Source organism: Homo sapiens, chromosome 6 (genome assembly GCF_000001405.40).
Source record: "Homo sapiens chromosome 6, GRCh38.p14 Primary Assembly".
Lineage (NCBI taxonomy): Eukaryota > Metazoa > Chordata > Mammalia > Primates > Hominidae > Homo > Homo sapiens.
Genome location: NC_000006.12, coordinates 9117160 through 9141985, shown reverse-complemented (window position 1 = coordinate 9141985; position 24826 = coordinate 9117160). Strand labels below are relative to the sequence as shown.

The following is a 24826-nucleotide window of genomic DNA, read 5'->3' as shown; positions in this document are numbered from 1 at the left end:
GCCTCTCCCAGGCTCCTCACTTTTGGAGTTCCCAAGATCTATTTTTGCCAATTTTATGTCCACGTGTAGCCATTGCTTAGCTCCCACTTATAAGTGAAAGCATGCAGTATTTGAGTTTCTGAGTTATGTGTTACTGTAGCAACAGAAACCTACTATACACTCAAATGATTCTGAAAAAGTATGCATTTGTTTGAAACTATATATAAAGAGACAAAAATAGACAAAGCACATATAAAACATTAGCAAATTTTGGTTAAAAGGGTGTTCCTCATACTATTACACATTTTCTTTGAAGTAATGCTAAAACAGAAAGTTACAGAAAGGGACAAAAAAGATCTGTGACTTTTAAAAAAAAAAGATAAAGAAATGTTTACAGTTAAATTGACAGGATGGATAGAATTTGTTTCAAATAAACCAGGAAGGAGGTATGGATGGGGAACTTTGGACGAGCACTTGTTAGGAATGGGTAATGTGTAAGAGTTTTCAGTGTATTATTTTTGTCTGTTTTTGCATTTGTTTCAGATTCTTCTCAAAATATTCAAAAACAGGATCATTCTATCTAAAAATCGATGGAAGGGAAAATGATGCAATACTAGCATTTCATGTAACCATCAGTCTAGCTGGGGAGTTGGCAGCCTTTACTGAAAAGAAAAAATTGGCATGAACTCTAGCAGTTTGGTGTCCTATCAGTTTAATATATTTTATTTACTTGAACAGACAAACCGGGCAACAAGAGGCTTTTCTCTGAATATGTCAGCCAGCAGACGTTAACCTTTCTCTACTGTGAAGGCTACGCTGCTGTTTCTGCAGTTCATTTTGCTTTTTGTTTGCTTTTATAATTGTAGGCACTACCAAAAGTGTTTAGAGCACTCTGTTGAAAATGGCAGTATTTGAAGAAACTGGATGTCACTTAAAATATGATCCTTGGATAAACATCACATGCTGCTGGCCTTCTTACAAAATGAGTAAGCACTGACTTTCTCTTTCTGGCTGCCAAAGCCACTTTGATTTTCCTGGAGACTTCTATTTAGCAGGTAGTTTGAGGGGACTATGGGGAGGGGACAAATATCGTACATTTGGATTACAATCTTTATTTGCTTCACCTGCCCTCTTTTTTGAGTAAAAGAGTTAAGGACATGTTTCTATACAATGAAAAACAAACTAAAATTATTCAGAGAGTTAACCTAACTTTTTGCCCTTCCCCAATGAGACATATAAATGAGAGCTTGCATTTCTTGGCCAGATCCGATGAATTTAAATTTTCCATTAACATATAATAGGTTTAGACTATAAATCCCTTTGAGCGTGGGAATCAGTGAGGAAAAACAACACTCTGGAAGCTATTGCTCAAATAAGCTCAAACACTTATTTTAGAATATACCATGCCTGTAAAGAGAAAGATAATACATTTTATGTGTGTCAATTTTTAAAAAAACAGCAAGATTTTTAAAAAGCCATTTTATCTCTGAGAGATTCAATGACCATGTTTGATGACAAGCCAGATGGCAGCATTCCCTAGACCCGGTGCCAAGACACATGACAGGAGCCGCAATTTACCTTCCGTGGTGAGGCTAGCTGCTGAAGCACACCACAGCTGCAGGCGAGCGGGCTGCTGCCGGTAGGTGCAAGCACAGTTGGTTCCCTCCCAATTTGGATGCAGCAGGTAAGAGGCTGAATCAGTACCCAGCAATTATGGAATTGGCATGCGCTGCATTGTTTACTCACAGTAATATTCCTACCGGACTTTATTAAAACACCATCTGTTGTCAGGGCAGACAAAGAATCCACATAGAAATACATAGCAAGACAGAGAGAAAAAGAGAAAATAAAAACATGCACGTGTGTACTGGAGCGCTGCTACAGGATTTGGTTGCATTTCTAAGAGGCCACGTTTGACCCTGAGGGTTATCTTTTAACATGATATCCCTACTCTCCCAGATTTTTGTTTTGGGTTTCCGCTGCCAGCTAGGCCAAAACAATTTGTGGTCCAAATGAAGTTGGCTGTGTGTGAGTCAGGCTGGAATTGAAGGCAGCGAGTGCACGCATACGGGTGGAACCCAATCACATTAGCAGGACTACAAATTAAAACCAAAATGATGCAAAGTCAAGTCATCCCACTGAATGATGCTCAGAGTAAACTTCTGAGTTAATGTCCAGAATATAGGCTGAGTAATAAAGGATATCTGCCAATAATAATAATACCTTCAGGGCACAAGGTAAAGTGACTGTTTTTTACAATCAGCTGTTTTCTCTCACTTTTTTTAATCCTGCAGATGGGGACCAGATATTTCTAATACACAGCTGGTCTCTGCAAGTGGCCAAGTGTAATTTTTCATACACCCGCATACCATTCCAGGTGAAATTAATTACTGAGAATTCCTCATCAGAAAATATACTAATAAAATGCGATGCAAGTAATTAAATATGCAAATACAAGAACGACGGCATTAAAACTCTGATATGTCATTTCAATTCTTCTAATAGACATCTGTCTATTCGGAACTTCAGTGCGAAACAAAATCAGAAACAGAACAAACCTTAAAATAAAAGTGTAAACAAGTCCCAATGCATATGGCAAAATGCAAGCTGCAGGAAAATGAATCTAAAACAAGCACTGAATACTTTCCTGGTAAAAAAGTTGGCTCAGCTAAAATATATATTCAAATGTTACGGAGCAAATGAATTAGGAGCATTTGGAGAAGCCGAGGGGAAGCTCATGCCGTGTATGATGTCATCGTCTGCTTTGCCTGATACTCAGACCCCTGATATTCTTGCCAGGATATGAGCAGTCATTCTAATTTACAGAAATGCTGTTTACCACTTTGCAAGCCATACCAATATTTACAGAGAATTCAATGAATGAATGAAAAGAAACAGCTGCGACTCCTTCCACCTCATTGCCCATTTCATCTCTAACTCTCCTCCTCTGTGCTGTCTTATTTATAGTCATTCTGTTGAGCAATGGATTGGGTTTGGCAGCATTCAATACACTGATGCCTGTTTGTTAAACACATCACTATTCCTGCTATGAATTTTCCCTTTCCTAAGTGTGCTTTATAGAGAATACCATGATTGACTGACTATATTCTGCATTTATATTTTAATAGGCTTCAAAATGCATGAATACCCCAATTATGTATTTTTTCCCTAAAACTGCTTATATGGTGGTTTTAAGTCTATTCTTAATATCATAATTTATACTCACTGATGATATTTTGCTATTTGGTAATGTATGTGTGCTACAGCATAAGTTACTGTAAAGAATGTCTAAAAAATAAAAAGGCACAATTCTTTCCTTCAGGGAGCTTAAAATTTAGTTGGGGAAGTAATGTATATGCTGAAACAACAGAAGGCAATATTAAGTTATATGTGATGAATATTAACATGTAAAGCCAACCAGCAGAAATGCAGAAACTCAGAGGAAGAAGCAACCAGGGAAAAGAGTTATTTTTCATAAGATCTAGCCTGTGAAAGTTAAAAAAGATTATGAACAGGTAAAGAGGAAAGAACAGAGCAGGGTCTTTGGGGGACACTAAACTGGGTTCTTGGTCCAAAACAGCAAAGGCAATGATGATTTCATGAGTAACACTTTTAAGAGGCTCCCATGGTTTATTGCACCCTGCCCAAGGACACCAACCTTCCAGGGAACATGGTGAAGGTTTTCATGAGGGAGAAAGGAATAGAATCTCTGAAAATATGTTTAGGCTCAATCAAATTTAGATGTTCAGCATTGTCTGCAGAAAGGCTATATAAACATTTGGAGACCAAAGGTTACCAAGAAAGAATAAACTGGTGAATTGATTGTAGTAACTGAAAATACTTGAATAACGAGGATACCTTGCAGGACCTCAACGCCCTTGTTCTAAGTTTGCTCCTGCTGTATCAGAAGAATTTTGTTTAGATTCTCCACTAGCTCCTGGAGCAAACCAAATGAGCATGCATATTTGATGGTTATAATAACCTGGGCTACAATAAGTGAGCTCCATACTCAGGGCACCAGAATGACAGATGTTAAAGCTTCAGCCAGGCTTGAAAGGAAGGAGACTGAGGTCAAAGACAAATACAATAACTGTCTCTGTAATAGGTCTGAGGGTGAAGCCAAACCATGGATTAAATAAAGGCTTTGCAAGGTGTGAAGGCAGGAAGAGCTGGAATAGGTGAGGTGATGAGGTGTGAGCGGCACATGTGAGTAGACTGAGAATAGAGGGTGTCTTAGTTCACTTTGTGCTGCAGTAACAGAATACCACAGACTGGGTCATTTATATGGAAAATAAATTTAATTTTTTCCACTTCTGAAGGCTGGGAAGCCCAAGGTCAAAGAGTGGCATCTGGTGAGGGCCTCCTTACTACATCATCCCATGGTAGGAGGTGGAAGGACAAGAGAGCAGAAGAGCAAGAATGGGCATGAGAGGGCTAACTCACTTTTACTCAGGAACCCCCTCCTGAGATAACTAACTCACTCCCTCAGTGATGACATTAATCCATTCATGAGGATGGAGCCTGCATGTTCTAATCATCCCATAATGGGCCCACCTCTTACTACCATCACAATGGCAATTAAATTTCAATATGGGCCCCGGAGGGGACATGCAAAAAACAGCAGAGGTCATGAATATTATAGGGTTATCTGCGCCCTGGCTTTATTTGGTGCTAAGTAGGGGCCCAGGCACAGGCTATCCAGGAAAGAAAGAGAGAAGAGAGAAAAATAAATTGCCATTTTGCCATTTTACCCCATAGTATACATTTTATTAAAGACTTTCTTCTCATCCTGATAAAAATTGATTTCATTTAAATAAAAGCATGACTTTAAATTATATCACCATTAACTTCAGGTCTTTAAATTATATCATTAGTAACATCATTAACAGAAAAAGTTGATAAATCGATAACTATCTACATGGAATGATTCGAGATTGAAAAATATTTTCTTCATAAACGATTCCCAAAGAACTGTTTCTACAAGGTAATATTTAGCTCATCTTTTACCCTCATTTTCCCAAGTATTCTTAACCCTTCCTCACTGGAAAATTCTATGGGAATAAGCTTCTGGTTTAGAGATTATGCTGGAAGAATAAGAAATATCTCCTGGTCCCTTTGTCATCACAGTCCTTCCTTCCATCCATCATATGCCAAATGTGAATCTCTTCTCTGGAGCTGGTGTCTTCACATGTAGGCCATTGGTTTCTGCATTAATTCAAGGCATACACATCAAAATGTCTGTGGTTTTTATGAAAAATAGATATGCAAACAACTGGAACATTCTACTCTGGATTGTTTCACCATTCTCAATGATTCATGTTTTACACACACAGATGTACACACACACACACACACACACACACACACACAGCCCTGTGGTTTTTAACTTTTGGTCAAAACCAAAACAGAACCCATAAATTCAACAAGGTTGTCTCTGGTCCCCAACTGTGCTGTCAAGTAGCCCAAATAGTACCACGGAAATGATAATCCTAGGCTGTCACCACCCATACTCTCCTGTCACTGCAGGCCTGGCTGGCTCCCTTGGGTGAGAAGTTTTGAAAATAGTAGAATAAAAATATCCTAAGGCTTGTGTTTATACCACAGAATAGAAAGTTAAGAGAGCCTTTAGGGAAGCTCTTCATGGCCCTTTCTATCTTGAATTGCACAAGAGAGTTCTTCTCTATAAGGCTGAACCTTGGCATTATATAAATATTGACAGGAAGAATGCAACTGCAGGCTTTCCACAGGCACTCCTTGTTGTGTTGAAATGCCAAGAGCCTCTAAATACAGATAGAATCTTCCTTTCTTTTGCTTTTTCCAATGGTAACAGTAAGTATTTTAGGCACAGATCTCCACGGTGTCTCAATACATGGACACTAGATTGAAACACTCAGTGTTGATGAACTGATCAGTGGTAAAATCTAACACTTTAGCACAGAAGCCAGGTCTATTAGGGAGCAGAATAGCTGGCATTGAGACAGACTTCTTAGGGGTCTCCACACTGAATAGTTGCCCAGAAGTAAGTGATAGCTGCAAGGAGAAGCTTTCAGATAGAGCTAAAAGGAATTAGAATCTGTCTTTATATTTTAAAAGCTGGAATACTAAAACTAGATTCCTGGCACGGCAAGGAATCTAGTTTTGCAGTTACTGCAAGCAAGGAACATACTTTGATTGTCTTTCAGGTACATGCATAGTGAAATTAAAGGAGTTTTCCTGTTGAAGGAGAAGGATTTGAGACAAGAGTGATATGGTTTGGCTCTGTGTCCCCACCCAAATCTCATCTCCAATTGTAATCCTCATAATTCCCATGTGTCAAGGAAGGGACCTGGTGGGAGGTGATTGGATAATGGGGGTGGTTTCCCCCAGGCTGTTCTGGTGATATTGAGGGAGTTCTCATGAGAGCTGATGGTTTTAAGTTCCCTCTTCTTGCTCTCTCTCACCTGCTGCCATGTAAGACATGCCTGCTTCCCCTTCTTCCATGATTGTGAGTTTCCTGAGGTCTTCTCAGCGATATGGAGGCCTCAGGAAATTTTTTCTTTATAAATTACCCAGTCTAGGCCGGGAGCGGTGGCTCAAGCCTGTAATCCCAGCACTTTGGGAGACCGAGGCTGGCAGATCACAAGGTCAGGAGATCAAGACCATCCTGGCTAACACGGTGAAACCCCATCTCTACTAAAAATACAAAAAATTAGCCAGGGGCGGTGGCGGCGCCTGTAGTCCCAGCTACTCAGGAGGCTGAGGCAGGAGAATGGCGTAAACCCAGGAGGCGGAGCTTGCAGTGAGCCGAGATCGTGCCACTGCACTCCAGCCTGAGCGACAGAGCGAGACTCCGTCTCAAAAAAAAAAAAAAAATAATAATAAATTACCCAGTCTTGGGCAGTTCTTTAGAGCAGTGTGAGAACAGACTCATACAATGAGTCTCTCTTTATCTTGAACTGTTAGAGAGAATGAAGAATTCTTGGCAAGGATTGAGAAAATGGTCCAAGACAGAACTTTTTAAAAAAGATTAATTTGTAGTCAATAGGAAGAATGTATATATTAATACATATATAAAAGAGGACTGGGCCGGGCACAGTGGCTTATGCCTGTAATCCCAGCACTTTGGAAGTCCGAGGCAGGTGGATCACTTGAGGTCAAGAGTTCAAGATCATCCTGGCCAACAGAGTGAGTCTCACTCTGTCACCCAGGCTGGAATGAAGTGGCACGATCTCGGCTCACTGCAGCCTCCGCCTCCTGGGTTCAAGTGATTCACCTGCCTCAGCCGCCAGAGTAGCTGGGATTACAGGTGTGCACTACCCTTCCTGAGAAACCTTTAAGGCAAAGAAGTACGTAGAGAATACACAGAAATTTTCCAAGGATCATGAAGGTTAAGAATTGGGATTCATACCTAACACTACAGAAAGTGTCTATATAAATTCATAGAGAATAAATAAGTTATTTTGAATTTTAGTGGAAAAAGCTGAACAAGACCCCAGAATACTTCAGATGAGATAAGATAAGGATGAACTATGGCTGATGACAGAAAAAAAAATGCCTTATTTGAAGAAAAGAGAATAAATAGACCTGAAAGCAGAAAAAATCCCTATGTCAAGAAATTATAATCATTTATGTAAAATCATTTAACATAGAATGCACATTAAAAGGCAATGGGGTAAAGATCAAAAGATCAAAAGACAATACAAATGATTTTGGTATGGAGGTAGCTCAGAGATTATCTTGTCAAATGAGATTATGGGTAATATTTTCCTGATACAGATGAAAATCTGGCATAAAGGCAATTTATGGTCACAGTAGTATTCAACTGTTGGGTCACTGTTTCTTTTCATTCTTCTAAAAGTAGAACACCTAAAACATTCTTATTTTTTCTGCAGTTTCATGAATCAGGAAGTTGAAGAATAATAAGGAAACCCTTATACTCAATTTAGTTCTAAGCATCATTTAATAATTTGAACTAATGGGAAACGTAAGGGAGACTGTCCATGTCATTTTAACTCTTGGTTACCAAGGAAATATATTAATGATGATTAGAGCCAAACAAAACTGAGATAGGATCGAGTTGGGATGGGAAAGCATGCCATGGGCTTTGGCATAAGATACATCTGGTTTTAAGCCTCCTAGACTCAATTATTTACTATCTTAGGGACTTTGATCAAGTCAACACTTCTTTTCTGAGACTTTTGTTTTCATTTCTAATGAGTAGTTTACATATATCCAGAATACAGTGTCATTACCATATGCTGCCCTAGATCAAAAAATTTGACTTCAGAAATTCTGTAATTCTCTCTTCTATCAATAAGGTCACTGAAATAGAAAATTACTGTAATAATTCAAAATCTCGCAATTAACTATGTCTGCATATGGGGAGAGGAAAAATAGTCATACTGGGCAAGTTACTAAGCAACCACTTTGTAAAACCCTATCTCACCAGGCTGAGAAGAGAACAAAGAAATGATGCTTTCCTGTTAGGCCCTATTAATCCCCTTTAAAGGTGACACATTACCAACAAAAAGATGGCCAGTCATTTCTTTAACAACTTGTTGGTAAATGGGGTTTTGCATTTCTATGACTCTCCTTCTAATTTTCCTATATTAAATTTTAATGTTTCTTGAGACATGGACCTCTTTGGGAGTCATGGAAGCTCCAGTAAATAAATGAATGCTTGAAAAACCTAACAGATAGTTGCACACATATTTTGTCCTTGAAACCCACTTATGGATCCCCAGATAAAGCGAAACATAGAAGTATATTATTTCTAATTTCTTAGATTTGCACTCAAACTCCAAAAATATTTACTTATTAAAATAAAATGCAGATATTAAACCCAAGGAAATTATGTTTACTAAAAAAGAAGACAAACAAAAATACTCCAAAAGTCACTTTTATAAGAAATATTGCAATTAAAAATACTGAATGGGGCTATGATGGAATGCAGGACAGTGTATTCTTTGCGTGATCCCATTTGAAAATTTAATGGGACTCATAATCTCAGAAAAATTGACTACAATCTGCAGATGAGAGTCAACCTATATTTTATTAGCATAAAGAAAAAAAAAAAACACTACTTTAAAAAACCCACAGCTGTTTTTCCAGATGATTCCAGAAACTACCTTACTGTAATTATGTGGGGGCACTTTTGAAATGCTGATTTTTTTTTTTTTTTTTGCCATACCTACTGAATCAAAATCTCTACGATGATGCCTGTAAGTGTGTTTTTAACAAGCATCCTGACTGATCTTTAGCTAAGCTAAAATTTGAGAAACACTTTGCCATAGTTTTAAATATCTTCATTAAGAGTATCTGATATCTAACCAAAACTTAAATCCTACAATATTAAATTTCACTTCGCTGAATGAAATACATTTCCAACCTAGATTGCCCTATATTTTTGGTATGGATACTTTTTATAGATTTGATTGTATTGTCCATGGGAAGTTAAAAGAGCTAAAACACTAAGGGGTAAAAAACTGCCTATCTGTGATTGTCATCTTGTTCAGTTAATAAGAAATAATAACAATCATATCATCCTGGGAAGCAACATGAGTTGTAGTGACCACTTTCACCTTGACAGCAGAACAGTAGGATCTCCAGAGATTATTTTCTGAGAAAGGCATAATACCCAAAAACTGAGTGTTATTTAAAGTTTTCAAAAGAAATAATTTCATAATGATATGAACGTTGTAAGTCTAACAAAATTCAAGATGTATCTTTCCTTTAATTCTGATTATAGAATTTGTAAATTAGTAGAATAAAGAGGGATACATTTTTGTCTTTGGTATCACTTTAATCTTTCAAACTTGTGTTTATTTATTTTTTCTTTTTCCCAGGAAGAGAATAAAGTGGGGAGGGGAGGCTTGGAAGGAGGGAGCAGACACAATGAAACTGACAACCATTCCAGAAAAGAATGTTTTTTATGATACAGGAGTCCATTAGGGATTCAACAGAGGCAACTAAACTAATTACAAGAAGCTAAACAGCACCCCTCCCCTAAGGATGACATTCAGTATTGACCTGCTAAGAAGATAAATGCCAAACACATTTATTGTCATAGGGGTCAGTACTTGTCCCGTACTAAAACAATCAAGAATCTGCTGGCACTCTCGGCCTTGCGTCACATGCTACCTGCATGAGAGCATTGTGCATACAAGGAGGAGCTTGTCACACTGGGCAACGCAAGCATGCTGAGGCCGCGGAACGTCTGTGCCAGCACTTTCGCATCATTATCAATCATGCTCTAGCTCTTGCTGGGGCAACAGGAAGGAAATTTGTGGCATATAAATGTAAATCATTGCATGCTCTTTGGAATAGAATAATCATCAAATTGATTTACTAGCTATGCACAGTTCTCAGAGAAAGTTTGAAAGTGGGGAGTGTTTTTGATAGGGTGGAGAGGTTGGCTTTTCCTGAATTATTCATATATAACTAAAATAAGAAGTGATCAGAATTATCTATCACAGCTTTCTTGGTAGTAATTAACACTAATTCCTGGAAGCACACTGGAGTGAGAAGTCAGAGAAGAAATTCTACACCCCATGTCAGTATAATATCTCACCCTTTCGTGTCCTGTTGTGGCCCAAATAAAAGTGTCGGATTTATGCCAGCAGAGTTGGCACGAGTTATGTGCACATTTCTGCTATTCTTATTGTTTATTGTTATGTGTTTAAGTACTTAGAAGGCATCAAGAGGAAGCCAATGGGAAGACCTTCTCCATGACTGTAAATTCATAGTCTTGAGAAACAATGTTGATAGGCTTGGACAGGAATAAACACATCCCTAAAAGCCATACACTTTGCCATAATTTTGGTATCTGAGCAAATCTAAATGGTTTTCTTCTTCTTCTGTCTTCTCCAATGCTGTGCATTATGCTAAATTCAACACTAAAAATGAACAGGCAAATACCTCAAGTGCATGATACATTGACCTACCTTCAGTACTAGGCTAGCACTATTCATAGCATAGGACAGATGCAGTCATCCCAGAATGCACCACCCTGAACACTAATTCCATCAGCAGAATAATAGGAGAACTACAACGTCCTCATCATCCTAGAAACTGTGTTCAGGATCCTCATTTGACAAGCAACATGGGAATGGTAGATGCAAAATGACAAGGTTTGTCCACAATTTCTTGGAAATAATAGAAGTTCTACTTGATTCTCTATTCAGAAAAAAAAAAGAGGATGCCATTATTATAGACCAATGAAAGAAATTATTTTTATTTGATTAGGGTAAAAATAGCAACCTGTCAGATGTAATCTTATATACAGGACAAAATATTTACAATTATGCTACAACTTTTTTTTTTTTTTAGATGGAGTCTCGCTCTGTCTCCAGGCTGGTGTGCTGTGGTGCAATCTCCACTCACTGTAACCTCCGCCTCCCGGGTTCAAGCAATTCACCTGCCTTAGCCTCCTGAGTAGCTGGGACTACAGGCGTGCACCACCAAGCCCAGCTAATTTTTGTATTTTTGAGTAGAGACAGGGTTTCACCATGTTGGTCAGGCTGGTCTCGAACTCTTGACCTTGTGATCTGCCCACCTCGGCCTCCCAAAGTGCTGGAATTGTAGGCATGAGCCACTGCACCTGGCCACAAAATTTGCATTTTCTAATCTATAGTGTAGAGAGGCTGTATATACATTATATATACACACACACACACACACACGCACACACACAGCCTCTCTGTAGTGTAGAGAAAGTAGAAACATATAGTGTACATATGTTTGGTCACAGGGCCTTGAAACATACAGTGTACATATATGCTGTAGAATTTATGCTGAACAGGAGGTTCAAGGGCCTGTGAGAAACATATCGTGTACATATGTTTCAAGGGCCTGTGACCAATTTACCACCAAATTCAAAATCTACTTTAATATATACTTAATAGGATTGAATTCACTTTTTGGTCTTCTCATTATAGCCTCTGACATTTTTAGTAACACTTTAGTAAGTAAGACTTATCTATGTTTATATATGCATATGCATATGTATATTTATATATGTAGATAGATATGTAGATAAACTACACATCTAAATGTACACATGCATATATAAGCATATTTAAGTATTATTTAATAATATTATTCAGCATTCTTAAATATAATTCTATTATTATTCTTGAGAATCATGTTAGAATAGTTAACATTTAACATCTTTGTTCCTTCTATGCATAGACATAGGTACACAGTAATGTTGTTTATCAACTATTGTGGGTAATTAGATGAAATGACATGCTTTGTGAACGAGCAATTAAACTTTTTGGACAGTGAAATATTTGTTATTTACTGAGTGTGGTTCTAAAAATATCTGCTGAGGTGCTTTTATAGGCAAGTCAATCTTCTCGTTATTTCTTTTAGGATAGCTTCCATGGTGTGTCGTGAATGTTATAACAACCCCCCTTTTCACAATTTATCATGAGAAAAAAATCCAAAAACATTACAATAGTACATGTACAAAGGTGTTTATTGCAGTATTGATTACTGTGTTTACTGCAGTAATGAACATTTCAAACCACCTAGATGCTCAACAACAGAGAGAAATAATTATGACTTATATCAAATAAACATACAACCTCTACAATATTTTCAAAATACTAATTTAAAAACTGGATGGCAACTGGGAAAAGAAAGATGTTGATATAACTATCTAGAATGAAAAGCACAATGTAAAAGTGAATTTTTGTTACATTATGCATGCATAGTCAAAAACTACACAATGGCAGGGGAAGTAGCACATTCATTACCACTGGTTGGTTTTTACAGATTTTATCTCTGTAATTCTTAGTCTATGATAGACACAAAACTATTTAAGGATATCAGGGCATTCATTACTGTAGTCTTTTATGACACTATTATGACATTTCTTTAGCATGCTTTGGAACCAAATACTCTCTGTGTCACTGCAATTTTTTCTTCAAATGCAACTGCAATACGTGCAGTTGTACTTTTCTCTTCCAGCTCTAGCATTTATGCTGAACAGCAGATCCCTCCTGCTTTGGGAATTCCAACCAATCGCTGCCCCATCTCCCCACCCCCACCCCCCACCCATTGAGATTTCAAAGTATCTGCTAAAAGTAGCTTCCCTCAACACATGCTTGGTACCAGTGTTACTTTTCTATTGCTGCATGACAAATTTCATTTTAAAACAACACAAATTTATCATCTCACAACTCCCCAAGGTCAGGTGTCTGGGCCTGGGTTAGCTGGGCCTCTGCAAGGGCTCATTGGACTGCAGTCGAGGTGTCTGCTCTTGCTGCCATCTCACCTGAGGTTCAGGATCTCCTCCCAAGCTCATTCACATTGCTGAAATAATTTTGTTCTTTGAAGTTTGTATTGGGTCATTCTCACATTACTATAAAGAAATACCTGAGGATGGGTAATTATAAGGAAAGGGGTTTAATCGACTCATCGTTCTGCAGGCTGTACAGGAAGCATGGTGCCAGAATCGGCTTGGCTTTTGGTGAGGCCTCAGGAAGCTTACAATCCTAGCAGAAGGTGAAGGGGGAACAGACGCGTCACATGGCTAGAGCAGGATCAAGAGAGAGAGGAGGGAGGTGCCACACACTTAAATGACCAGATCTTATAAGAACTCACTATCCTGAGGAGAGTACCAAGGGAGATGGTGCTAAATAATTCATGAGAAACCCACCCTCATGATCCAGTCACCTCCTACCAGGCCCCACCTCCAATATTCAGAATTCCATTTCATGTCCAAACTGTACCACAGTTACAGGACTAAAGTCCTACTTTCTTGTCAGTGTGGGGGTTGTTTTTAGCTCCTACAGGACCCACAAGGCCCTCTTTTTGCTCTTAAAGTTCAGCAGGAGAATTTCTTTCTAGTCCTCTGTCACCTTGTCTTATATAATATAATGTCAACATGAGAGGGACTATGCCACCGCCTGGCTCCTATAAGGTAACCTAATCATCAGATCCGCTGAAGGGGAGGGGATTAAACGTGGCATGTACACCAGTAGGTGGAAACCTCGACAGCCATCTCAGAATTCTGCTTACCACTAGAATTTATTTTATTTCTTTATGCTATACATAGCATAAAGAAATTAAGAAATTTCTGTTTCTAAGAAAAAGAAATAAATTATTATGTCAGATATAAAATATATAAATCAGAAAATTATGTATAGTCCCTTGGTTTCAACAGAGCAAAGAGGATGAGAAAGGTAGAATATTCTTTTATGCAGAGGGGCAACATCTTTCTATGATTTGTGGGAAGGACAGCATTGCCTCAGTGAAAAAGTAAGTAATGACATATTTCACTTTCACGTAGGATTTTTTTAATTAATGTCATTAAATTGATAAAGAGCTGGTATCTTATTCAGGAATGAATTGTTATTCTCTCTCCTCAATAATCTGGTCTGTAATCTGCTTGCATTTCCTCACAGGTGAGTGTTTTTGTTCAGGTATATCTCTAGGGTAGCCTCTGCAAAATATGGCAGATGTTACAGTAATTGAGAGTGCACCTAAACTAAAATGCATTCTGTCTCCCTTCAGCTCTACTCTATACATGATTGTGTGAATGTTTATACGATAGCCTATGTAGTTTGAAAGCATGCCAAGTTTGTTAGGACCACGGGTACACTCATCAAAGAGGCAGCTCTCTACTTTCTTCCGTTGAATAAATGAAGTCAGGAAAATGGATAAGTTAGCTGCTTTTCTGACGCTTCATGACTAATCAGTGATGTAACCAGGATTGTGACTCATCTTCTGATTATCTGCCTGTGTGCGCACAGCCGGCATAAAAAGTGCGAGCACTATGGGACAAGCTTGAGTTGCAAAGGCAAGCTGAAAAAAACCTCTCTCTTAATTCCCCAAATAGCATCTCTTTGGAGAAACCAGGTAATACCACAGACTTGTCTTCAATGAATTTACTGCATCTTTAGACACAAACACAGACACGTGGATGTTTAATGTTCCCAGCTGTCAAATTTACTGAGTTGATATCCATTTAGGAACATAGCTTAGCACATCCATTCTAGAAGTGATTGAACAGTTTTTCCTAGCTGATCTCTTTCAAAGACAGCCATCCACATCTCTGCACCCCGTAAGCACTGCAACATCATCTCGGATAATTGCTTAACTCTCTATGGGTTTCTAACAAGCACCCTTCACACTGAAATACAGCCTTTTAAACCCTTTAAGCTCATCTCCCTGCTGCCTAACTCCCTGCCAGGACTGACTAGCACCAAATAAATATTCTTGGAAGTTATCATTTTCTTATTTACTTCTGCAATAGCACACAAAATTTTCCTTGTTTAGCAGGTGTTCCTGTTCTCCAAGTTCAAGTCAAAGCAGAATTTCTCGGATAAAGGGAAAAACAAATTTCCTTCTAGGAGTTAATCAATACCTTTTCAAAATATTTCTCTTGCAGTGTGACTGGTGTTCATCTTTTCCTTTCCATTTCATTCCCATTGTTTTTTTAATGCTGTTAATTTTAGATGGTAGATACTTGTGCCTTGGTTTCTTTTTTAAAAAATTTCTCGGCCGGGTGCGGTGGCTCACGCCTGTAATTCCAGCACTTTGGGAGGCTGAGGCAGGTGGATCATGAGGTCACGAGATCGAGACCATCCTGGCTAACACAGTGAAACCCCATCTCTACTAAAAATACAAAAAATTAGCCGGGAGTGGTGGCGGGCGCCTGTAGTCCCGGCTACTCAGGAGGCTGAGTCAGGAGAATGGCATGAACCCGGCAGGCAGAGCTTGCAGTGAGCCGAGATCGCGTCCCTGCACTCCAGCCTGGGTGACAGAGCGAGACTCCATCTCAAAAAAAAAAAAGAATAATTTCTCACATTTTTTTCATTCCTTCTAGTAAGTTTTTTCAAATAGTCTCACAAAGAATGTCTACTATCTTGGCATATAATAATAGGTCTAGAGACATCAGACCTTCACTGTTTGCTTCCAAACATATCCGAAGTAATAGACAAACTTTGTTATCCTGTCTTAGTCCATTCAGACTGCTATAACAGAATATCATAGGCAGGGTGACTTACAAACAACAGAAATTTATTTTTCACAGTTCTGAAGGCTGAGAAGTCCAAGAACAAGGTGTTGGTTGATTCAGTGTCTGGAGAGGGACTGCTTCCTGGTTCACAAGCATCTGTCTTCTCACTGTGTCCTCACACAGAGTAAGGGCTGAGAGACCTCCCTGGGGCCTCTGTTATAAGGTCACTAATTCCATTCATGAGGGCTCCACCCTCATGACCTAATCACCTCCCAAAGGCCCCACCCCCTATGACCGTCACACTGCCAATTAGGTATCAACATATGAATTTTAGCGGGGAGCATAAATGTTTAGACTATATAGTGTATCTCATTCCATCTGAACATTAAATATGTTAGTCTGGGGTAATTTTTACAGGTTGCTTCAATTGGAGTAAGAAAAGACAACGTTTTGTTGATGACAGCACTGTAACCCAGCCCTGCCCCTCTCTGTCTGCTCCTCTTCCTTGTGACCCTGTGGTCCCTCCTCAAGGGAGCCTGTGCTGAACTTTAGAGTTTATAGTCCCTCATGCTCAGAAATTGCCAAGGCCTATAAAACATGCAGACTTTCCAATAGTATTTTTTTTTTTTTTTGCCTCATGATATAAGAATAATAGTTTCCTCCACTACTCACAAAACACTCTGTTGCAAGAATCTCCATATAAGAACTGCTTATGTATCACTCCTCCCAGGTAAGATACTTGAATTTAACTGGGATTCTAGAAGAAAAACTAAATCCCCAGAAACCCATCTATTTTGGGGATGTCAGGCTGAAAAAATAGGTGACATCTGGGGAAGAAAGACAGGTCACTACAGCGATCCTCAAGTCACTGTATAAATTACAAAAATTACTTTACAAATTACATTTAGGTTTTCAAAGCACTTTCATATGAATTTGTGCATTTTGGACAGACAATAATTTGTAGTGGTAAGTAAAGGAGCTTTTAGAATCACTTTTACTTACATAGTACAGAAAGGCTAAATGATTAAGCAAGATGGGCCAGCTAGTTATTGGAATTAGGGCTAAAATAAAACTACGGGTCCTGACACCATAAAGCCTGGACTCAGGTAGATTATGAGAGGGCAGCTCAAATCTCACAAGTAGTAGGAAAATTTAAACCAAAGAGAGGCCTTGGTTTGAATTGTTTATTCATTTGAACCTTGTAGATAATAAAAAGGTCCAGGAGTTCTATTTCCAAATAACAAACCATCATTATTTTCTTCAAGTATGTTGTGCAACCTCCAACTATATCATGTGAGTTCATCAAGAAAGTATTTACATTAACATCTCCATGGTCTCTTTGACCCTCTTGCAGGTGTGAGTGAAGTGCTTGGCTCTGCGAGATGGTCCTGGAATATCTTCACCACTCTTCACAATTACGTCCTCTTGCATTCCCACTGATCCTTCAGAATTGTGTGGCCTTTCAACTTTCTGAAAGGCCTTCACTGTCTCTTAATTCAAATTCTCCACATGTAAATACAAGTCAGATCACCTTACAATTTAATCTTTAAGCAAAACTGTAAATCATCATTTCCCGCGACATTACAATTGTTGGGGGAAAGGTGTTTGGTGTCACATCTAATGGCTTGAAAACTCGGAGCATCTCTGGACACAGTCAATATCCAGGTCTCAAATATGCATTTACTGTGTTTATTATAATGACTGCCTTTGTATTCACTGCAATCATTTTCTACTGTTTCTTCCTTTGTGTAATCATTTCTTCCCTTCCCCTCCATTGTATTTTTTTAGAGTAATTCTATATTCTGTTTTTGAATACACACTTCTCTTTCTTTTAAAATAATTTGTTGTGTATATTTCAGTTTTACTACCTGATGTAACATTAGGATTGCAGTGCTTACTCTCTCTCTCTCTCTGTATATGTGTATATATACATATATACATATACATATATATACATATCTATATATATATATCTGTGTATATATACATATATACAAATCTGTGTATATATGTATATGTACACAGACTGAGAGATAGTACAATGATTACTATAGTGAGGCAGTTTAACCTATCTATCATCTCACATAGTTGCTTTTTTGTGTGTAATAAGAACACCTGAAATCTACGTATTTAACACAAATTCCTAATACAATATAAAAATTCCTAAAGAAATTAAAAATGGAGCTGTGTTATGACCCAGCAATCCCTCTTCTGGGTCTACATCCAAAGAAAATGAAATCACTACCTTGTAAAGATCTCTGCACCCCCATGTACATTGCAGCGTTATTCACAATAGCTAGGCTATGGAAACAACCCAGGTGTTCGCCAACCAATGGACAAATGGATAAAAAACAGTGGTGTATATATGCGTGTGGGTGTGTGTGTGTGTAGTGGAATATTATTCAGCCTTAAAAAAGGAGACAGTCCTGCCTTTAGCCACAACATGGATGGAGCTGGGGACATCAAGTGAAATAAGCCAGACACATATACACATCTAAAAAAAATGGAGCACCTGTTTTCCTAACTTGTCTCTTAGCTAAAAATTCTTCAGCAGTCTTCACTGCTTGGAAAATAAAGCCCTCAATACTTAGCTTCTCGTTAGATAGAGGTGATTCTCACTATTCATTGTAGGTGTGTTTAAAAAGTCACCACAAACACTGAATTAGTGAATACTGAGCCATTGTTCCTAGGAGAAATATAGAGTTCGTTTCCTATGAACCTCTGGTAATAGCATTTTTGTTAACCAAATAATATATAACCTTGTTTTATGTGTGTTTCCCTGTACAGTTACCTTATTTTTTATATATTGATTCATTACCATTAAACTCATGGCTACCAACATGAAAACTATGCTTGAATGAAGCACCTAACACATATTTTCTTCATAGGGCACATTGTAGTCTCTTGTGCTGAGGATCACTGGAGAGCACTCAACACTACCAACACTCGGAAGCCATTCTAAACAGTACAACACCAAAAAAAGTACAAAAATGAAAAAACAAGGTGGCATTTAATAGACTGCTAAAAGGACACTTGTTTACAGCAGAGAGCTGAAAGGCGGCAGAGTGCCACATTGTTCCATGCCAATTGGAATGATGTGCAGAGGGGGACGGGGTTGAACATGTCCATGAAACATGGTGAAAGCGATGCAAGGGCATTGATCGTGGGGTTACAAATAAATATTTGGGACTAGGTGAATTTGCAAATATAGAATCCTTGAATAATGTGGATCAATGGAATTTGCATTATGCTGTGAACTTAATTCCACTGTCATACACACTAAAAAATAAGCCATGTTCTATCCAGAACAGAGGTTTGAGTAGTCCCAAGGCTCACCTTGTATTCTCCTAATCCTATAACTCTTTTTTACTTTATACCTTTGGTTTGAAACCACTCCTGTATTTGTTCCTTCACATAGCTTTCTGTGGTTAAAATCACTATCTCCTCTGCAAAAGCACTGAAGAGAAATCACCATTACAGAAGATGTCATATTCTCTTTCAGTTAAGGATTATTTTTATTCAGATATGACCCATCCACGCCTCACCTGTATCCTAGAAATTTAAGCTAAAGCTCCATGAAGGTAAGAACCTTCTCTCCCATTTCTTTACACCCTCAGTAGCGAGCCCAGAACCCAGCACATAGCAAGGGCTCGATAAATACTTACTAAACTGAATTCAACTGAATTTGATTTGAATCAGATTGACGTATATTGCTATTTCTTAGGTACCTCTATAAAAATCCCCTATCACTGATACGATTCTGTATGCCATGTACAAAAAAATTCTGTAAAAAATGGAGAAAAGCTTACAATAATCTCCACAGAGAACCAGAGGCAATAATGAGAAGGGTAAGAAGTAAAGTAAATGTGGAGGCAGCAACCTGGTTAGAGGGGTGCCACATGAATTATTTATTTATTTATTGAGTCGGATTTTTTGCTCTTGTCGCCTAGGCTGGAGTGCAATGACGTGATTTCAGCTCACTGCAACCTCAGCCTTCAGGTTCAAGTGATTCTCCTCCCTCAGCCTTCCAGGCATCTGGGATTACAGGAGCCAACCACCATGCCTGCCTAATATTTTTGTATTTTCAGTAGAGATGGGGTTTTACCATGTTGGCCAGGCTGGCCTCCATCTCCTGACCTTGGTGATCTGCCTGCCTCAGCCTCCCAAAGTGCTGGGATCACAGGTGTGAGCCACTGGACCTGGCCTGCTACGTGATTTAAATGGAAGCTGTGTCTGTGTAGCCAGCACAGCATTTTTATATTACATGTATCTGCGTGTCCTGATGCAAGTGTGAATTTGGGTGGGGAGTGACTCATGGCTATCCAGGGTGGACTAAGCCAGCTACTCTTGGCACTGTACAGGAGCCTGATAGGCTCTCCACCCGCATAATTCAAACAGATGGTAGAACACTAGAACACTTGTGTGCATCCAGAAACAAACCCAACTAGGTCAGGAGAGTATTCCAAATATTATCTTAATTATTTCAATGTAATTATAGCCAGTGTAATTTCTTACCAAAAGAAGTAATAAGCATACTCCTTCATTTATCTCAAACTATGCTTAAATAATAGCACTGGGTGAAATTGTTGTGTAAATTAAGTTAGTTATGCAATATCCCATTAAGGAATATCCTGGAAAGCTAGATTTAAAACAAGATATTGATTATATCTGCATCTAATTTGTGGGCTATGCTAGTGTCTCCTCAAGCTCATGGGGCGAGAGAGGGGTTTGGTTCACAAAGTTAGTAAATCATCTTTATCACCCTGGGAGTTCGTTGAATTACAGATTTCTCCAGCTCTGTCCACTCTGAGATTCTGATTCAGTAAAACTGAAGATTTTATATTTCTCTTTAATATTGAGCACAACTGAGTAAGCTACATTTTATTACTATTTTCATCTATGCATATATAATTTAAGATTTTTATTTCAAATGCATTTCTTCTTAAAGCATATAATGAAAAATAGAAGCATTAGGAGAGACATCATTTTTTGCTATCAACAAAAATGTCACCATCAGTGTATAGATTTTAATTAGATATTTTATCTACTTAATTTTAGTAGCATTCCTCAAGAGAAAATAGAAAATTTGCAAACTCTGTCTAACAAACCACATGTACGCAAATATGTCTTTAGTCTATCAGTCAGTTGATTATCTATTTAGCTACTTATCTCTGTCATCTATTGGCTTAAAATTTTATTCAGATTGCCTTTTCTATGATGCTTCCTAAATAACTACTATATACACCTATTTTACAAGTATTTGTGTTTCTTTTGTTGGTTGAATTTCTAAAATCAGAAAAATACCATTATCAATCCATCAATGTGGATTTCTTACCTCCATCACCATCCAACTTACAGTCATTCCTTTTAATTTTAAATACTCTGACTGGGCACAGTGGTGCATGCCTGTAGTCTTGGCTACTTAGGAGGCTGAGGCAGGAGGATCACTTGAGCCCAGGAATTCGAGGCTGCAGTGAGCTACGATGGCACCACTGCACTCCAGCCTGGGTGACAGAGCAAGAGTCCAGATCCAAAGATAATAAAAATAATACTTAAATTAATTGTAAAGGATGCTCAAATTTGGTGACCTTAACAGAAAAATAAATTTATCTTACAGTACATTTTAAAATACACATGCGCGCGCGCGCGCACACACACACACACACACACACACACACACACACACACACACACACGACAGCAGAAATTCCCTCAGCCACTTGAATAGACTAGTCTTAATATTGGTGTGATACTTATTTCTGTGGGTGATACAGGTTTAGAAGTGAATTTTCCCAGAAATGAAGACAAAGGAATGAGTAAAAAGTACATCAGAGGATATCTTTTCTATACTAACCTAGAGTCTCATGCCAAGAAGTATGTCCAGAGTAATTATAACTTCTGCTCAGATCACTCTTAATTGGCATTATTCAAATACAGAAAATTGAGTGAGAGTGTGACCTTGTTCACACTAGTGAACTTGTTCTCCAGAGAAGAAAACTGACAACAGGCTTTTTTGTCATCAAAGGGTGAAGAAATGTGACAATCCGGGAACTGGTTTTAGGGCCCCATCTGCTAAACCAGAGAGAAATCAAGATTTTACAGTTCTATAAATATTTGAGTGTATCCCATCATTTATGAACTGTGGCAGCTATCATAAAACGTCTCTGACTTTTGTTACAACTGCATATAAGGCCAGAAAATTGCATCTCGTGGTAAACCATAAAAACCTAAGTAAAAGCACCATTCCTTTCAGTATATTCTAAAAATATACAACCTTCCTGTCAGTACATGGCAGGGTAGTTACCATCCCAGGATGCCTGTTTCTTTCTCATGTTTTTATCTGATCTTACCCTGGTCTTTTCAAGCCCTTTTGTATTTCAGTATCTTTTTATGTTTCATAAATAACAGCTATTGCCATATAACAGCTGAAATAGATTTTACTTTGTCACAACACAGTGTAAGCAAGAGACACTTGGATGATGATAATGCTGCCTTGCAATAAGCCTTTATTTTTGACCTTATGTCTAATAGTTTAAAATGTGATTCTCATTTTTGTCTCTACTGAGTTTCTTTAGTATTATAAATAAGATCACTTAATTAAGAGGCAATCAGCACATTTACAAGGAGACACTACTCCTAAGAAACTATGTAGGCAAAATATATATAAAGCTGACTTGACAGTGAGATTAAAATGGTGATTAGTGGATTGCTTCATCTTCTTATTCCATATACTCTTGTTACTCTGACTTTTAAAAATGTATGATACGTGCGGTATTTTAACTCTTAAGTATGGTTGATTTTTCTGATGCCTTCAGAAACGTGGTAGCTGTGAGGGTCACACCACATTTCAAGGACGACAAACTATCCACATTGGCATCTTTGGACCAGGCAGAGGACGGTTTCTCTTACTACTAGACTGTGGTTTGACAGGCTGCAAAAGTTCACAAGGCAACAGATCCCAGGGCTCGAAGTCATTCGTCGAAATCCAAGAGCATACGCACACATTCCTGTTGCATTCTGAAATACACAGGATGCTCTGTGGATCATATTTTGGGGGATTAAGCTATAGGATTATCCTTGACTCTTATTTCTTACACACAGATGAATGCATGATTCTCAATGTTCAAATTCTACCTGAGCATTTACCCAAGTCAAATATTTCTCAGCTTATTTATTAATATGATTTCCAACCCGCTAAAATCTGCCCTTCCACTCCCATCTTCCTCCCTATAAATAAGCAGTTTTCATTTGCAGTCAACAAAGCCAGCCTCATACTTGGGATGGGAATGGGAATGTGAGGCAATATGAAGCCTATTTATTATTCATGAATGTAGCTCGGGCACACTCAGATTTGTGACAAACTGCCCTCTGTGCCTGTGCTCTCAGATATAAGTGGTGGGAGTAAAGTCATACCTTGGCCCTTCCTCTGTACTCTATACAGAGTCCAGCTCTGGCCTGGGAAAATACTTTCAGACAAAACGTCTGAGCAGAAGAAGAATGGACAGAACTCTGAGGACATTCTTGAGGCACTGGCAGAACCTCTGCAGGAAGACGAGAGCATTGCTGGTGTGGGCCTAGGGACCCCCACAACCCAGAACTGGCATTCCTTAATGCTACTACTGAAATTGTATTAATATTAACAGGTGTTAGAAAGCATTCTGAGCTTGAACCTTTAATGGCAATGAAAAGAGGCAATAAATATTTCTGACTGAGAAACCAGTGGCTTGGAACATCTGAAACAAAGCTTTCTGGATGCACTGACTTATGAAAACTGTATTCACTTGCTATATAACAGAACCCCAAACAAGAGAATTAGAACTGAGAGCCACAGCGATGGGAAGGACTTACCTTGATTCACAATGGTAGCCCATGAATTACAGTCTCATGAAACAGCCCTAAAAGTTTGGCCACTTGCTATAGCAAAGATGAGCTCCTTTAATATCTCAAATCCTTAATTTTCTCTTCTGTAAAATAGGCCCTTTGAGCTTCCCATACAGGCAATGTACTACGGGCAGAACTATGCTACTTGTGAAACATCTTGAACAACACCCCTCTCTCATGTTGTTGTAAGAATCAAAGTATATAAGGTAATGAAACTCTTAGCGAGTTCCTGAAGCAGAGTAAGTACTCAATAAAATGTAGCTCATGTTGGCATCACTATGTCGGTGAGCCTTGCATGTAGTAGCTGCTCAATACATCTTGGTCAAATTGAATTAAATTGAACAGAGACGTAGGGAGCTTTATGTAGGATTATTCTTCTACTCATTACAAACAGTCCGGCATGAGGACATTTCAGCTATATTAGCATAGGATTGAATTGAATGAATATGAAATAATGCCAAATGTGATACTGAGCACTGTCTGCTAGTTACCTTATGGAATTCTCTTTTAATACTGTAGTTAAGTGTTTTTTCCACTTTACTGATAAACACTAAATTTCAGAGAGGTGAATTTACTTGCTTGTGTTTACATAACTGAATGACAGAATCAGGGTTTGAATTCAGGTTACCTGGTTCCCAAACTAAAAGTCAAAAAGGTGTAGACAACGGCTGCCTGAAGAAACTGAAAGGTTACCACGTCAACATTCTATTTGTCTCAACAGAAAAATAGCATTATTCCGGCTGAGTAAAAAAGTGATAGACATCTTAATATACTACCTAAAACTTCCTATTTCTTAAAGTGTTATGGTTTGTGGGAAGTTCTGTTATTGGAAGTCAGTGGCTAGTAAGTTGTGCATGCTCTTCCCCTCTACAGGGAGTACTGATGGGGGTGGAACATCAGGACTACAACTACTACGACATGTTGTGTGTCCTGAGGAAAGAAGTTATCTCTCATCTGCTCCCACACTAACGAACAGAAGGACATTCCAGGAACATCCTGCTAGTGTCTTCTCTAGTTTGG

General features: G+C 38.4%; 1 long non-coding RNA gene across 1 annotated transcript; it reads left to right on the top strand.

The window, feature by feature from the left end:
- The first annotated feature begins 1587 nt into the window (after positions 1 to 1587).
- Positions 1588 to 17765, top strand: LOC107986562 (uncharacterized). Its single transcript, XR_001743957.2, has 2 exons — positions 1588 to 1663; positions 17280 to 17765. It is a non-coding gene; the product is annotated as an uncharacterized LOC107986562 (long non-coding RNA).
- The last annotated feature ends 7061 nt before the right edge of the window (positions 17766 to 24826 follow it).